This window comes from Homo sapiens, chromosome 3, assembly GCF_000001405.40.
Source record: "Homo sapiens chromosome 3, GRCh38.p14 Primary Assembly".
NCBI classification, from domain to species: Eukaryota; Metazoa; Chordata; class Mammalia; order Primates; family Hominidae; genus Homo; species Homo sapiens.
In genome coordinates, this window is record NC_000003.12 from 108,323,787 (window position 1) to 108,341,749 (window position 17,963).

The window sequence follows — 17,963 nt, forward strand, 5'->3', positions numbered from 1 at the left end:
TAATGCAGATGGAAAACATCACAATGTTCTAGAAGGGAACTGAAATGAAAATGAATTATCTATACCTATCTCCACTCCACTTATGTAAGGGAAATTGAAAGATAATCACTTCATGGGTATCCATTTAAAATAAAAGCCACTTTTCTTTTCTTATTGCTTGTGAAAATTCAACCCATCTTTTGAACAAATTTAGCAGTGATTTACAATTTTTGGTTAAAAATGCCAGACTTAAGATTTCAAAATGCACTCCTTTGTTAGAAAACAATGATTTCATCAAATGGTAACCCTACTTTGTCTTAATAGTTAATTCACAGGTTGGTGAATCTATTTATTATTAAATGTAATTCAAAGGTTATTTTCACAGTAAAAGCATACAGATAAAAATTAGCCCCTTCTCATAAATACCAGAGTCCTAGTCTCCCCTCTCAGAGGCAGTGGACTACATTAAATTTATTATTACATACGTTTTGAGAAATTATTTATGTGAATACAAGCATATATATGAATATGTAAGCTTTTTTCATATAACAAGAGCATTTTTGCTGTTCCATGCCTTATTTTATTAACTGTACATTTCTGAAGATTTGACTGTATCAGCACATTTAGATCTTCCTTATACTTTTAATATTTTTGTGAAAATAGAATAAATACAGAGAAGTGCACAAAACATAGCTAAATGAATCAACACAAAACAAAAGCCCACAAGATAACCACCTGGTTTGCCAGGCAATCAAGCACTCCTAGGCTTTCACAAGGCTCCTTCATGTCCCCTCCAAGTCACTACCTTCTCTGTCTCTGTCAAAGGAAAATACTTTCTAGCTTCTAGCTTCTATGGTAATCCTGTCCTTGCTTTTCTTTAGTGTTATACCTAGGTGTACATCCTTAAACAGTACAGTTAAGTTTTGCCTGTTTTCAGAATGTCAGGTAATTCAAATCATACAGTAGGAGTTATTTTGTGTCTGACTTACTCCGTGCTTTCTATTCATCTCATCTATTCTAGGGCTTTTATATGCTCTAAATTTTTCCTTCTTTCTGGGCCTTGCTGCAAATTTGTAATTCTGTTTCTCCCCCTACCTCTTTAGAAGTTATGCATTCTATAGTTCTTTTACTTGTGAACCACCAAATTATGATATACTTCATTGGTTCTTAAAACCTTACATTAATTGGTATTTTATACTTTTCATGGGCAATGAAAAGATTCTATATTCCTTTCAGACATCTCACTTTTTTTTAGCCCCTTCTAAAGTCTTAAGCCATTATTAGGTACTTTAATTCTGTCTTTAATCTGTATTTAAAATATGAATGTCAGTGTGTTTTATTTATGTTTAAAATTTATATATTTAAAATCTTATTATTGTCATTAGTCTCATTTATTTTTTAGAAAGACATTTATTCAGTGTCATGACCAGACTATTACATTTAGAAATAAACAGCATGGGTGCAAAAAACAAAAAAAAACTATGTTAAAACCCTTTGATGGAATGCTTTAAACGTTCCACAAACAGAAACTAAAATAACCTCTAATGCAATTAGTCACAAATATAGTTCTTCAGTTTTTTGCCCATGCATATGAGTATTGTCTTAAATGTGTCATCTTTGTAGCAGGTAGGCCTTGCCACCACTGTGCTTGGCTGAATTCACAAATCTGTTGTAACCTGTACCTCCCCTGTCACTTCTCTGGCTCTCCTCTCCTGTTAAGCTTTGCTTCCTGGCAGTAATTAAAACCTTCTGCTACTATTGCTACTGGAACCATCATAGCCATCTTGGTTTTGTAGTTTGGCAAAGTATTGGCCTCCCCCACCATAGGAACTAGAGTTTCTGCCTCCAAAGTTCCCTCCCTTCGTAGGCCCAAAATTTGAAGATTGATTATTGTAATTGCCAAAAATCGTTATAGCTTTCTCTACCTTCAAAATTGTTTCTATCTACCAAATCCATTATAGCCGTGCCCGCAGCCACCATATCTACGATCACCACGGCTGCCACCAAAGCCACCACAACCATTGAAGTTTCCTCTACTACCAAAGTTGTCATTCCTACCAAAACTACCTCCACGACCACCACTCACATCTCTAGAACTACTTTGACCTCTTTGGCTGGATGAAGCACTAGCCATCTCTTGCTTCAATAAGGCTTTCCTTATTTCATGATTGTGGCCATTCACAGGATGGTATTTCTGAATGACAGTATTATCCAGGGAGTCATGGTCATCAAAAGTTATGAAAGCAAAGCCCCTCTTCTTGCCACTGCCTCAGTCAGTCATGATTTCAGTCACTTTAATTTTCCATACTGTTCAAAATTATTTCTTAGGTGATGGTCTTCGGTGTCTTTTTTTTAATGCCACTACAATCTTTTTCACATTTAAGTGGTTACCTGGTCTCTGAAGTTCTTCATTTGAGACAGCTCTGTTTGGTTCCACAACTCTTCCATCCACCTTGTATGGTGTATTCGTCCAATTTGATGCCACTGATAAAGACATACTCAAGACTGGGTAATTTATAAAGGAAAAGAGGTTTAATGGACTTACAGTTCCACGTGGCTGGGGAGGTGTCACAATCATGGCAGAAAGTGAAAGGCACATCTTACATGGCAGCAAGCAAAGAACAAATGAGAACCAAGCAAAAGGAGTTTCCCTTTACAAAACCATCAGATCTCCTAAGACTTATTCACTACCATGAGAACTGTATGGGGAAAACTGCCCCCATGAATCAATTATCTCCCACTGAGTCCCTTCCATAACATGTAGGAATTATGGGAGCTACAATTCAAGATAAAATTTGGGTGGGGATACAGCCAAATCATATAAGATGGCTTTGCATTCATGGCTATATCTACCTCCATGGTGACATATGGGACAACCCAAAACCCCTGGAGTGCTTGGTGTTTGAGTCTCTCATTACTACACAGTCCATAAGAGTTCTCACTGCTCAAAATGGCTGTAGAAACCCTCATCAGTTATTTCAAAGATCAACCATGTGATGAAAAGCTTCTGCAGCTGTTCAGGCTTTTTAGGAGACTCTGACTTAGACATGGCTGCTATGGAAAGAGAGACTTTAATGATGCTTCTGCAGCAGCATCCATGGGGAGAAAGCTAGTCTACTTATTTAAATTTGCCCTATATTCATAGCTCTTCATCCCTTCCTGAATTTGAGCTTCCACCTGGTATCATTTTCCTTCTGCCTGAAAAACATGCCTGTAGTATTTCACTTAGTGCAGTTCTACTGGCTTCAAATTATGTTTTCTGTGTCTGAGAATTATTTCACTTTATTCTTGAAATATTTTTGCTACAATTTTGGGTTGGAAGTTATAATTTGGGGGTTGCAATTTTGGGTTGGAAGTCCTTTTCTTTGATCACTTAGAATAAATTTTTCTCTCATCTTTGGCTTCTATTACCTGTGTTTAAAAGTCAGGTATTTGCCTAATTGTTGCTCTTTTGAAGGCAACCTGCCTTTTTTGTTGTGCCTTCTGACTGCTTTAAAAGTTACTTTCTCTTTGGTTTTTAACATTTTTGGTGAGGTACCTGGTTGTTTATCTTGTTTGAGGTTTATAGGGCTTCTTGAATCTGTGAATTAATGTCTTTCAGTTTTGGAAAATTGTCCTTCATTATTTCTTCAAATAATTCCTACACATTCTCCTTTCTTTTTCCTAGGATTTCACTTATGCTTTCTCACTGTGTCCTCTGTTTCTCATCTTTCTTTCTAATGTTCCATCCTTTTGTTTCTCTTTGCTTCATTCTGAATACTTTCTTACAGATCAATATCCAGGGTACTGGTTCTCTTTAACTGTCTAGTCAGCTGTTAAATCAATCTATTGTTGCTAATTTCACTTATTTCCCAGTTCTTGTAGTTTCTGTTTGGTTCTTTATCATGGTTTTCAGCTCTCTGCCAAAATTCTCTATCTTGTCTTGTCTCTTTGAACAAAAAAAGTATGGTTAAATTCTATATCTAAAAACTAACATCTGAAGTGCATGCGAGTTTTATTTTCAGTTATCTGTTTGATTGTTTTCTTGTCTCTGAGTGCCTGGCTATTTTTTACTGTGTGTCATTGTATTTGCAAAAATGTTGTAGAGGCTGGGCATGGTGGCTCATGCTGTAATCCCAGCACTTTGGGAGGCTGAGGTGGGTAGATCACCTGAAGTCAGGAGTTCGAGACCAGCCTGGCCAACGTGGTGAAACCCTGTCCCTACTAAAAATACAAAAATTAGCAGGGTCTGGTGATGGGTGTCTGTAGTCCCAGCTACTTGGGAGGCTGAGGCAGGAGAATCACTTGAACCCGGGAGGCGGAGGCTGCAGTGAGCTGAGATCATGCCACTGCACTCCAGCCTGGGCAACAGAATGAGACTCTGTCTCGAAGAAAAAAAAAAAGTTGTAGAAGTAATTTTCAGTTTGGTATAATATTTTCTTCCAAAGGGAATTTGTTTTTATTTTACTGGTCATCTGGGGCATTGATACTCTGGAATCACCTTAATCTAATTTTATCCACACAGCATGTAGGAGAATACTAACCCTGCACAGATTGTGATGGTGATGTGGAATATACTAAAGCCTAGAACGCACCTCCTCTGGTAAGTAGGGAGATATACAATGAGGTTCCAGTATTATCTGTGCAGCTATTTATTTGAAAATTACTGCATGACCAGGAAACATTTTAATTGCTTTGCAAATATTATTAACATAATTCTTATAACAGTGATTTGGAGGTGAATATTATTATCCCTGTTACTAGATGTGAAACTGAGGCAAAAAGGAGTTAGGTAACTTGGACAACAGTACACAGCTTTAAATAGACCTGGGCTTTGAATCCAAGTAGTAAGAGATGATGCTGTTGAGGTGAATTTAGACTTTGCACACTATATTATTCTGAGAAATGGTAAATTTTGGAATTATGGGGGAGGGCAGTTAGGAGTGGCGTTTTTTACTTTGTCTTATGACTATAAATTTTAAACTGCATTATCTATGTGCTACTTTGATAGTGGTGCTGGGGTGTTCAGGAGAAAATTGCAGTAGTAGTTGTTATATAGGGAAGGGAACATGCCAGGAAAGATCTCAATTTGTGTTCACTCATTGCTGCAGTTCAGAATTGGGAGGAGGCGGAATTGTGGATTAAGTATGGGGTCTCTAAAGACTCTTTTGCACTGAGAGCAGCAAGTATGAAGAAATTACATCTTAGAATCAGAGTTTGTGCTGGATTCATGCGTGGGATTTGTTGATTGTGTTTCTCTCCACAATGACTGCTCAGGCTGCTTCAGCATGAACAGTTGGCTCAGTACCCAGAGAGTGTTTGATTAGCTAAGTTAGGATGCAAAAAGCCACACACTATAGAGGAAATTTACCCTGGAATAAATGTAGATCATTTAGTCAAATTGCTATGTTCTCAGCATGTTAAGACTTCCCTGTAAGAAAGTGCCACAGGAGCTTTCTTAGAAGTACAAGTAAACAGAACTTACTTTCCAGGAAACCTGAAAAGCATGACCTAACATGTGATTCAGGATCAGCCAACATGGCCTTGGAGGAAAAGAGCCCCTAAAAAAAGAAACGTCCTGACTGAGTCGTGAAACTGATCCTATAGGGGGTTTTATGAGTCAAAACTCTTGGTTGCAAATGACAGAAATCAGATTGAAGCCTAATCAGAGGCATCAAAGTAGGGGAGGGGTGGGCAGCACAAATTACTGTCTTTGGCTTGACTGCATTGCATATTGGTATAAATTTGTGCTTGCTGGAGTTGGACAGAGACCCAAAATGTTTTCAGCGGGTCTAAATATACTTCAAAGATTCTGAACTTAAAGGGGAGTGGAGGAATGTATTGGCTCATGATACTGGGAACAGGCATGGCACTAATTCACAACTGACTGGGTCCGGTCCAGAGGCTGAAAAATTACCACTGCTGATCTTGCATCATCAACCACTCTCGATGTCTGCCCCTCTCTTTGTGGGCGTGTTAACTTCTGCTGCACCTGTGCTTCTCCCGTATTGCTATGGAAGAGGGACACAGGCATCTTTCACTCTTCCTAGATTAGTCAGCCCTGGGTCAGGTATTTATGAACAATCTACTACTGCATAACATATTACTCTAAAAATTAGCATCTTAAGACAAACATTTATCATCTCAGTTTCTGAGGGACAGGAATCTGGGAGCAGCTTAGCTGGGTCATTCTGACTCAGGGTCTTTAATGGGGTTGCAGTTAAGATATTGCCCAGGGTGTCCATCATCTGAAGGAGCTGGAGAAAATGCTTCCAAACTCATTCATGTGGCTGCTGGTGGGAGGATTCAGTGCCTTGCCATATGGGCTCTCTGTGGGGCCATTCACACAGCACAGCAGCTGATCTCTTCAAGAGTGAGTGATCAGAGAGTGAAAGAAACCAAAATGGAAGCCACAGTGTCTTTTATAACCTCATATCAGAAGTGACATATCATAATTTCTGCTGTATTCTATTGGTTATACAGACCAGCCCTGGTACAGTGTGGGAAAGGACTATACAAGAGTCTGGATACCAGGAAGTGATAATCAGAGGCTGTGGTAGGACCACTGCAGGCAGAACTCTAAGGTGGCCCCCAAGATTCTTGCCCCCAATGTACACACTATGTAATTCTCTCCCTTTTAATGTGGGCTGCACCTGTGAATATGATTGGATAGTCACTGCTTTAATACGGTTACCTTTCATAACAAAGGTAAAGGAATTTTGCAGATACAATTAGCAATAGCAATAGATTTTTGAGTTAACCACAAAAGAGATTATTTGGGTGGCCCTGACCAAGTCCAGTGAGTCCTTTAGCAGAGACTCAAAGACTTAAAGCAGTGGCCCCTGATGGCCTTGAAGAAAGAAACTGGGATGATGTGAAATGGTGGGTGTCTCTAGGGTCTGAGGGCCTCAGTGCTACCGCTGCAAGGAACTGAATTCTGCCAACAACAAGTGAGCTTGGAAGGGGATCCCAAGCCTCAGATGAGACTGGAACCCTGGCTGACAGCTGGACGGCAGCCTGGTAAAAACCCTGAGTGGAGGACCAAGCTGAGCTGTGCCAAGATGCCTAACCCACAGAGATAGTAAGATAATAAATGTATGCCATTTACCTGCTAAACTTAGGGCATTTCGTTATTCAGCATATAAACATATATAATGCCTGCTTGTGAAAGATAAGGGTTAGGTGAAGGTCTTCTCTGTCCATATTTCCTCAAATTGTGAATTGTGGTGAGGTCCCCAAGGAAAGAAAGTGCTGTTAGAGGGACAAGGGGAATGCAAAGGCTGCTAGGCAAACAGTCTACAGCTGCCGCAGTTTATTAGGGTGTTTCAAACCTGGGCATCCCACCCGGTTCGAGAATATGTCATCAAGCAAACAGTGCTCTCCATTGCCGTCTAGAACATTGTTCTCAAAATGTGGTCTGTGTACAACCAGTGATGGAACTCTCTGGAGTGTTTGTTAAAATGCAGGCTCCTAGGTCTCACTCCAGATATATTGACTCAATCTCTATGGGGATTTGTATTTTTATTTATCATTTCATAGTTTTTATATTTTGAAGATTTTTCAAAATCAAAAAAAGTTGAAGGAAACAGAAGTGTGAGCATTTGTTTGCCTCTCACTGAGGTTCATCCATTGTTAATATTTTATCCCATTTTCTCCTCATATACATATTTATGTGTATAATTTTATTGCAGAACCATTTGAAAGTAAGTCACAGTAATCATGACATTTCACCCCTAAACACTTTAGTACACATAGCCTACAAATAAAAACTACCTCATATAATCACATGCCCTTCTCACACTGTAGAAATGAAACATTGATGTATTAGATAAAATACAGTGAAATTTTTCCAATAGGCCTCAAAATGCCCTTTGGAGTATTGCTTCTCAAAATTTGATCCTTGGACTTGTAGTATAGCACCAGCATATTTTAATAAGAACCCAGTGAATGACAAGCACACCCATTTGCCCTGTAGCAAGTTTTTGATTGAAGATCTAATCAAAGATTGTATTACATCTGGCTATCAAAGTTTTCTTTACTCTTTACCATCTCTGAGCTAGAATAGTCCATTTTTTCCCTATTCTTCCTTCCTCTGCTGCCTGCCTCCCCCTCCCCATTCTACCTTGATGAAAACAATCATGAAATTTTAAAACACTCTCATGCTTTTGAAACTAACCACATAAAGTTGTATAAGTGCTTAATGACTGGTACAAGCAAGATGGAGAGGAATCTTGTGGCAAGCGAGATCACTAAAAGTTGACAGATTTCATGAAAGACGTGGCATTTCTGTAGATCTTAAAATTGTAGACCACGTTAGTTTCTTTTGACTAACTAGTCTAGGAAACAAAGGACATTCACTTTAAAAGGTAAGCTGGAGCCAACTGAGGAATTTGGTTCAAAAGCAATCAAAATTTTAATTTTTAAAAATAATTTCCAGACTCAGAAAAATGTTAAAAATAATTTCCAGACTCAGAAAAATGGAGGCTACTTAACTGGGCACAGTTACCTCCAGGCGGTGGGACTAGTGAGTTCCAATATTTTAGTGTATTTTATGTAATTCCTTTGCAAAAAGGCATTATTGTAAAATTCTGACTTGCATTATAAATTTCATATGAAAATTTTCCATAACAGTAAAAATCCAGCATTAAAAATCATTTCATAAATAATGTACATTTGCATATCATAGTTTTCTTTCTTCCCTGTCATTGGACATTTAAGTTGCTTCCAAATCTTCACTGCAATAAGAAGCCTGTTCATACAATTATTACTTCTCTGATTATTATAACAGAGTCCTAACAGTAGAGTTGCTGAGACAAAGCTTACAATAGACTCAAACTGGAGTGTGTGCCCAACTCATGCAAATTCATTTGCAGGCTCTGATAGTGCCATCATTCTCAGTCTTAACCCTGACCGTTCTGAGCCAGTAATAGAATATCTAGATTCAAGTTGGGTGAAAAGAAACCTGGAAAGCTGACATACAAACAGGGAACTCTCAGGTGAGGATCTGGTGCAAAGATATCAGGCTTCTAAGCTGGGTTTTGATGTTGCTTCTCCTGTTCCTCTCCTTCCTGAAGCTGGTTTATGTAGCCCTTCCTTAGGTTGTGTGAGCAACCTTAGAATCCTTCCCTCAAAACTCCATGGTTTGCTTGTTATTCTGGGTTCCTTTCTGTTGCCAACAAAAAAAGAAACCCCCAAATAATATTGATGGTGGATTGTATATGATAGACACCTATAGAAAGGTAATATTTGGAATTAGCCATTGGACTTCATTGGAGTAAAAGGCAGTAAGGCTCCTTTCTGCATTCTGGTGCAGAAATTTAAGAGCTCATGGTAAGTGATGGCCAAACAGCTAGTACATCTATCACCCTCAGGCAACTGGGCATCTCTTTGGAAGTGAAACTTCAGGTGTCTGGATAGCTGATACCAAAACGAAGAGAATGGAGGCTGATGAAGCATCCCGACTTCATAAATTATGTGGCTAATTCTGGTCCAGAGTCACATAGTCATTAAGTAGAGGTGACGTGATTCAAACCCACACAATCTCATGTCATAACCTTAATTCTCAACCACTTCTTTTTATTCCCTTGCAAAAAGCAGCAAAGTCTCTTTTATATGAAAAGAAGTGAATGCCAATGGCTCTTACCCATAGAGTTGTCAGATTTAGCAATTAAAAATACAAGATTCCCAGTTAAATTTGAATTTCAGTATAAGTATGTCTGAGGGCTAGGATATTCTTGTACTAAAAAATTATTAGTTTATCTGAATTCAAATTCAACTGGACATCCTGGATTTTATCTTGCAACCCTATGTGGTCCAACCCTATATGTCTTTTCAGTGTTGCTCTCTCAGTAACCAAAAAAAAAAAAAAAAAAAAAAAATTAATTTAAATTCAGCACATACATGCCTCAGAGGATAGAGAGGAAAAAAACTTTTTAAGAGGAAATTTTAGAAATTCAGATCTCGCTGAAATCATTGCTATAGTACTCACCAGTTAGTCTGTATTCAATGAGCTAGCCTAGGCAGCCAGCTTTAATTTCAAGTTTGATGGCCTGATGAGTGCAAACCATTGCTGAATGCTGTCCTACGCTAGATGACATTGAATTCCTTCCCCTTCATTATGCTGGGGTCTTTTTGGCTCAAAAGATTGTAAGAGCTAGTATTGATTTGGACACATGTATCTGTGTGTCTCTGACCCACCTATCTCTCATTCTGTTCTGCTTCAGGACCCAGAAGAATCTTTTCTTCCCATGGGAAGTAAATTGCGAAGGCAGGCCACAGAATCCTTTAAAATGCACATTACTGTTCTTCATAGGCCAAGACTGTGAAGTGGGAGGGTGCAATGAAAATGGGGTTTCTAAATGAGCAGAGTTAGGAGGAGTCATGCTGAAAACAGGCAACTGGAGACTCCAAGTGGGTGTAGTCACAGATCCAAAGGCAATGCAATAATCAGGGCTCAGGAAATGGTCAGAGAAGCAGAAGTCTCTGGCTTAGATTAAACATGGAATCTTTGGGAACCAAATTGATGAGCCAGCTTTTAAGGTCTGTGTTTCAGTTTTACTTTTTGATACAAAACAAAACCCAAAACTTTCATTGCCCAAGTGTCATCAGTGCTGTATCAATGCTGAGAAACTAGATGGGAATAAGGTACGAGTATCTGCATGTATATCGTTCAGTCCTTTGAAAATAGCCTAGGATGTGGTGTTGCTTCTGATCAACTATTTTAAATGTATGAGGTAAACAAATTACTGCCACTTGGCTCTCCTATTGTAATAGACTTTTTGAAAAAGGATGGGGAGCTAATTTGTGGATTCAGAAAGTTGCCAAGGATAGACATCCATCCCTATTATATACTCAGAGACAAATGTTTTAATTATATCCCACAAGGCCTATTATGAGTCACTTTAACTGACGCACAGGTATAATCTATCCAGGAAAATAGTATCCACCAAGTATTTGCAACAGAGGGGATTTAATTCAGGGAACTGGCAAATGAAATCAAAGATGGTGAGGAGTGCAGGTAACAGCAGAACGTCACTTTCATGCTGGAAGGATGCTATGGGATCCCAGGGGTGAGGTCACCTTATGGAAGCTGGAATGGCAGATCTGCCCATCAGGAGCTTGAGTCATGGAAAAGATGGAGCTGGTGCCAGAAAAGCTGTCCAGCATATCATGACTTAATCAGGTGGTGATTCTCACTGCAACTGCTGTTCCATATGTTGTCCCCTCATTGGAGCAAATTAATGCAGTGACTAAGGCAGATCTGAATACTGAATGATTCCTGTGGCAAATCCTAATAGAATTGCAATAAAAGTTTCTAGATCTTGGAGAAAGGCTTTGCTCCCTTTAGCAAGTAATTAATTATTCTTTTCAGAAAATGTATCTGAGTGAGTCAGTATACAGTGCATGAAGATGTTTGAGTTTTAGATTCTATGATCAGGGATCCAGGATCCACAAGAAAGACAGGGACAAAGTTGAATGTGCCTGGCCACATTCCATCAAACCCCTAAAGAATAAATGAGTTGCATGAGCAGATTGTTTACATGCCCACTGAGCCCACCATACTGCTGTTTCATCCACAACCTGTGCTTGTGGCCTCATGGGGAGTCCCTTTAACAAGCTATTGAGTACAAAGGATGACTTTTCAGGATAACAACTACCACTGACTATAAGTAGATTTTGCAGCTTTAGAGTCTCTGACAGGGCTAACCCTAAAAGACGATGGAGAAGGGAAAGCCTCCCATTAGGTAGAATGTTGGGTAATACATGTCATTGTAACTTTACCTGAATGAAGATGAGGCCTAAAGTCAGGCTCTGTAACAAGTTCTTGGGCATGTTGGTCAAGAACATAGAAGAAGATTGACTATACAATTAAGAAAAAGGATGCAATCATGGAACATTCAATGGATCCAGAACATGAGACAGTTAAGGAGTGTGTTGAGCAAGCATGAAAAGGAGGCTGAACTGACCTGACGGTATGAATGCGTATTCATGTGATTGACAGCTGCTGCTTCGGACTTTCTGATGAGCATCCAGATAGAACATGACTGAGGCAGCCACAAAAGTAGTGATAGGGGCTTTGTACAGACTCCACCACACAGTATTTCCCTCATCAAAGCAGACCATGCTAATACAGTAGCTGAGTGATCCATTTGTCAACCTTAGAGACCAGCCCACATCTCTGATATGGCATCATACCTAGTAAACACAGTGAACTCCTTGTTGTATTATATCTAGTTGCTCTCATTATGGAAGGGAACAGCATTCTCTTTTCCTACTTCCTCCCTGTTGTGCCCCTGCCAGTACTACCAATTATGAACTTTCCAAATGCTTCATACACTATCTTGTTATCCCACCCAAATTGGCTATGAGGGGAGTTATTTGATCAAAAAGAAAGAATAAAGGCAATGGACTAATTAAAATGTAATTCACTGTTTTATGTTCCCTATTTATGAAGTAGTTAGCCTTATGACATTGTGCAATGGTCACTAAAGACAGCACCGCAATCTCACAGGGGATCTTCTTCCATCTGATGATGTAGCTACTTTGTAGACCACTGGTTAGGCACTGAACTAGTGTTTGAAATAAGAAATACTTTCCCCACAATTAAAAGACATGGATCTAGGAACCAAGGAGTGAGGAGGGACTGATGTGTCTAACAATGATAACTAATTAACCTATTCCCAAAATTTTTACTTGCTGTCCTTCTTAGGGTGACCCATCTCTTGTTAGTACTTAAGGAATGCTTTCATCATGTAATATATACTGTGATTCTTCTAAATTGGAAGCTAAAACTGGTAATTTGGGCTCTTCCTGCTAGGGGACAACAAATGGCAGAAAGTGGGATACTGTGTTGGCTGAGGTGACTGACCTTGCCTAGTAAGGGGAGATGCAATACTGCTGTACAACTAGATCTAAGAGGAATGTGAAAGGAACTCTGTGGATCCTTACTTTTCCTCATGTGCTCAGTGGGAAAGATTAATCAAAGATGATTGCCCTTCTATGCACAAGACCACTAGGAACTGGAACAGCTCAAGAACCAAGGTTCAGGTTATTCCATTAAAAAAAAAAATGAGGGGCCGGCCAAAGGTAAGGAGATTACATTATGGGTAATATCAAAGAGAATACCTAATACCAGTTCTGGGTTCTGGCTTGGGGATAAATGGCAGAAAGATCTGTTTCCTTGCTTGATGTGTCATGACTTAGCGCAAAATATTTTCTCTCCATATTTTACACACAGTGTGCTGGTGGTGGTAAATTATGCCTTTTGGACCAGAGGTTGAAGCGGATTTGAGGGGAAATGGCATTTCCAAGAGTAGTACTATTCAAAGTGGGGGGTCTGCAGACTGATGCTGGTGTGTGAACTGTTTATTACTGGTTCATGATGAGAGAAATGCAGAACTAGAGTATTTAAAATTATGCTGTCAAGGTAGCATTAACATTTCTATGCCTATTGTATATACTAATAAAAACTGAGGCTTGCATTTGATGTTAATTTCATTTTTCTAGCAATTCATTTTTATTACATTTTCCCAATGAATTTGTCCATGACAGATTAGAAACAAAAGTTTACTGCCGCTTTGCTACTTATAGTTTGAGAAACACTGATCTTAATGAGCAGTGGCCTTGTGAAATATATTGTAACTCCCAGATGCAGCAGCTGTGGGTAACTTTGGTCGCTTGCCACTGTGAAGATGAGTGAGCTTGCCATGGTTCATAGAGTATTTAGGTGGGTTAGGTGGAGGTATCTTTGTCTATGTGGAATCTATGTGTTTGTACCGTCAAAGTTGAATGAATAGAAATATACCAATGAGTTAACTGAGCAGCTTATATCTTGATGTCCTCCCTTAATCACTGGATGTCCTAGTCATGGCCAACTTTCCCAAGAGTGGAAATACATAACGAAAGCTCACCCTCCCCAGAAACTTTATAAGGTGGAACAGAGACCTATCCAGGTGGAATTTGATTGGAACTGAGTCACTGTATGACAGAACCCAGGAAGTGTCCAGGGTTCCTGTGTTGACTTTCTTGGAATTGTCTGGGCCTTTGCTCTTTTTGGTGCTTGGTCATTCTTCCTTGAGTTCTGGAGTTACCAGTGTCCTTCTAATTTCCTTCTTGCTTATGTCCTAAACCTATTTGTTGCTTGTCACTAAACTCACCTTAAATGATACAAAAGGTCTTGCAATTTTAAAGGCATTTGAAAAATATCACCAAGTTACTTTCTAGGAACTTAATTATCAGTGTATGGCCTCACCAATAATATAAGCCACTGTCTCCAGGTATTTTTCTCAGAACTGAATATAAAATGTATATAAGTGTATGTACAAACGCACACACACATATGTATATATGTAGCGATACCTGTCTATATATATAGAAATATATATCATAGATATCTAAATTTGATATCTATGTATCATATATCATAGATATATAGATTTGATATCTATATATCAAAGATATATATATATATCTTTGACATTCTGCCAGGTAGGATATTGGGACTTTAAAATATTTCATATATTTGAATATTATTGAAGGTGAAATTGTAGGAGATATGAGGTGTCAGTACACTTTTATGTGCAAGTTATAGAAACACATTTCAAATGAGCTTAAGCAGAGGGATTTTATTAGCATTACATAGAATAGCAGGTTACTGGGGAAGTTTGTAGAATTGAATTAAGAAGCATGGGAACCAAGTTATGAGGACATGCTTGTTGGGGGGCACTCATGTGTGCTCCTATGCACTTGACTGTTTACCATCAAGCACTCACCCTCAGCCTTCCTGTTCGCTTCTCATCATTGATTGATTTCTTTCTGTTGAAGTTCTCTTTGTGTGGCAGGAATTATTGCTGCCAGCAGTTCCAAATATATGTTTTCTCTCCACAAGCCTAGCAGAAAGAGCCCTTGTTTAATTTGCAGTAAGTAGTACTCTGGCCCTTCTTGGATCACATGTCCCCCTCCCACCTTGGACAGGTTGCCATGATTATTCACACCTGGATTAGTTAGCCTATCCTTAGATGGAGTGGTGGAGCAGACCATTGTGATCAACAGTGGTTAATAATCCCTCCAGAATGAGATAAAACAGGGAGGGAGAGTTGTCCTGGAGGCAGGATTTCTGGGCATTCATAAATGTCCCCTACACACTTAGCAAGAGCTCTTTGCCTTTTGGGCAGATGTATTACATATTCAAATCAATGTTTTCAGGAGACTAAGATGGCAATGGTACATAAGTAGCTTGATCATATAATTTATCATTCAAATTGGGACACTTTTGAAAGTAAAAGAGGCTACTGTTAATAATTAATGGAATGCCTGTTTGCCACAGGAAAGCTGAGCAACTGAAAGCAGACAAATGATTTTGGAGTTGTTGCACTAACTTCTGATGTGATACAGGTCTAACAGTAGTTATGACTATAAAACCATACACAGTTTTACAATCACTATCAACCACTTGCTGAGAGGAAATAACTTTTTGGAACCAGGTATAAGACTCACAAAAAGGTCAAGATTCACAAAAAGATTAAATCTACAATGAAATAAACTATCAGCTTCTCCATAGTTTGTTCTCAGGGGAATCACCCTGGGGTGGTGCTGTGACCTGTGAGATTTCACAGTAGAGTGGTTAGTAGAAGGCCTCAAAGTCATAAGCCCAACTTAATTTAGTCTTGACTTTGCTGTTTGTCAATTACAAGCTTGAGCAAATTACTTAACCTCTCTGAACCTCAATGTCTTCATCTATAAAATGGAAATTATAATACTTCATGTGATTGTGCCTAGAATTATGGTGTATTACTATATGCTATATTAGTATATAGCACATATATATATATGTAATGCATATATTAGTATATGTTTAGTAATACTGAAAGGTTAGCATTAATACTACCAAAAGGGTTAATAAAACGCAAGAGAAAAGAGAAAATTATTGATTTTTCTTTTAGCAGGTAAAATCTCCTAGTAAACACTGTTCATTGATTCTTTCTTCCATCTGTTTTTACTTACGTGGTCTGCTCCTCTGATCTGACAATTCCTCCTGTCAAACTTACCACAAGTACAAAAGAACACTCCATTTGTTGGCCAGGGAAGAGTGGCTGGACCTCTCTCATTTGGTTTAAAGATGTCTTTGGTTTGTCAGGTGTGTCACTTTTGCCTTTCAAAAATAGTTTCAGGATTGGTAAGAAAGAAAAATCTGGTTCAAAAGACTTTGAATAGTGAGCATGGAGTGAGGAGTGGCAACAGATGTGGCCCCAAATAAGACTTGGACGGTAAAGGTAGATGGGAATTAGGATCATAACTAGAGAGGACAACAGGGTCAAGGAATGTTACTCAGTGTGTGGGAGCCTGGGGAAAGAGCCCATCTGTGAAGGGCCAGGCGGATTAGAAGGAGGGCTAAGGTTTAGGGAAAGATAGGAAGGGAGAGAATTGAGGCAAGGAGGAATTGCCAGAGATAGGTTAAATAGGGAGAAGTGTAGATGACAGAATTTCTATTTCTCAAAGAAGGTGGTAGCTGATCTTTAGACAGTAAGAGATTGGAAGCCAATGCAAGGAGACTCATTCTCTAGTGACTCATGCTGGGCCTGGATCTCACTGCCTGAGCAGATGGGGGCATGGGTAAAGATGCCCCACTTAAAGAAATCTTCTTATTCTATAAATCGCTCAGCATTGGTTACACATGCTCCCTCTCTCGCCTAAATTTGCCAGTCTTTACTAAACTCAGAAAACTTCGTTGGAGAATTTCTAGTTATAGAAACAAATAGAACCAAACAAAGGTTGACCTACCTGGTATATCTGGGCAGCTTGATTTATATAAACAGACCAACATACCCATCTGTTCAAATGCATCAAACTCAAGTTCTCTGCATTTGAAAGTCTATATACCAAATTAAAGCTTTTATACTCTCCCTTCTTTAGTCTTTAGTGTTGAATTTATAAAGTTAAGGCATTGAAATACAAATAGTTATGTCATAAGATGTCAAATTCATTTTTCCTACAAATATTTAAGTCCCAGCTATACAATCTGAAGTTATTTTATTACCTTATAGCCTCATTTTTAAAGATCTCTTGAAAACAAGGATTTACTCTTTTTTTTTGTTTCTTTGAAAGAAAGAAAGAAACAGGGGTCCTGGAGAGTAAAATAGCCAAACTCTTTTCTTTTTTTTTTTTTTTCCTTCCTTCCTTCCTTCCTTCCTTCCTTCCTTCCTTCCTTTCTTTCTTTCTTTTCTTTCTTTCATGGAGTCTTGCTCCGTTGCCCAGGCTGGAGTGCAGGGGTGTAATCTTGGCTCACTGCAACCTCCGCCTCCCAGGTTCAAGCAATTCTTGTGCCTCAGGCTCCTGAGTAGCTGAGATTACAGGTGCTCACCACCACGCCTGGCTAATTTTTGTATTTTTGGTAGAGAAGGAGTTTCACCATGTTGGCCAGGCTGGTGTCGAACTGCTGACCTCAGGTAATCCGCCCGCCTCGGCCTCCCAAAATGCTGGGATTACAGGGATGAGCCACCACGCCCAGCCTCAAACTCTTTTCTTGTATAAAAGAAAATTCCCACATTTGCAAGATAATGCTTCAGTTAATAGTATTTTCCTTTTAATGTTGACATAAAAATAAATAGGAATTTTTAAGTTAATGTGGTTTTTCTGTCAGAAAACTCCTATAAAAACCATAAGGCACATTAAACTTACTACAAACTTCTAATGGCTCATAACTAACGTTTGTTTTAGCTTCAAGATTAAAAGTGTTTTTGCTACCATTACTAAGCAAATGTGTGTCTCTTACATTTTACATTACTCTGTTAAAATATAACACATCTTCTTTCAACATTTTGTTGTGAAAGGAGACATTTGTTTTTCATTGATTTATTTAAACAAACAAAAAAAAACAGAGCCCAGTTCTTGTGTCAGTAGCTCTTCATCCCTTAGTTTTCTTAATTAATTATCTTCATTATGCGTTACTTTCAAATGTTTGGAGACATTTGAAAATCCAACTCACAGTAGTTTAAATGTATTACTTA

At 38.7% G+C, this 17,963-nt stretch overlaps 1 protein-coding gene and 1 pseudogene across 14 annotated transcripts in view; one reads left to right on the forward strand and one right to left on the reverse strand.

The window, feature by feature from the left end:
* HHLA2 (HHLA2 member of B7 family) overlaps window positions 1-17,963 on the forward strand; it is an 81,738-nt gene that overhangs the window by 27,239 nt on the left and 36,536 nt on the right. For 11 of the 14 annotated variants that reach the window (XM_047447369.1, XM_011512362.3, XM_005247080.4 and 8 more), the window contains one exon: window positions 4,484-4,561. The exons of the other annotated variants lie outside the window; for them this stretch is intronic. Coding sequence is in view for 1 of the 11 variants with exons in the window: in NM_001282559.2 (NP_001269488.1) it covers window positions 4,518-4,561 (44 nt within the window). In the remaining 10 variants the exon portion in view is untranslated. The remainder of the gene's footprint in view (window positions 1-4,483; window positions 4,562-17,963) is intronic. 14 annotated transcript variants of the gene reach the window in all.
* HNRNPA1P17 (heterogeneous nuclear ribonucleoprotein A1 pseudogene 17) lies at window positions 1,722-3,028 on the reverse strand (annotated as a pseudogene).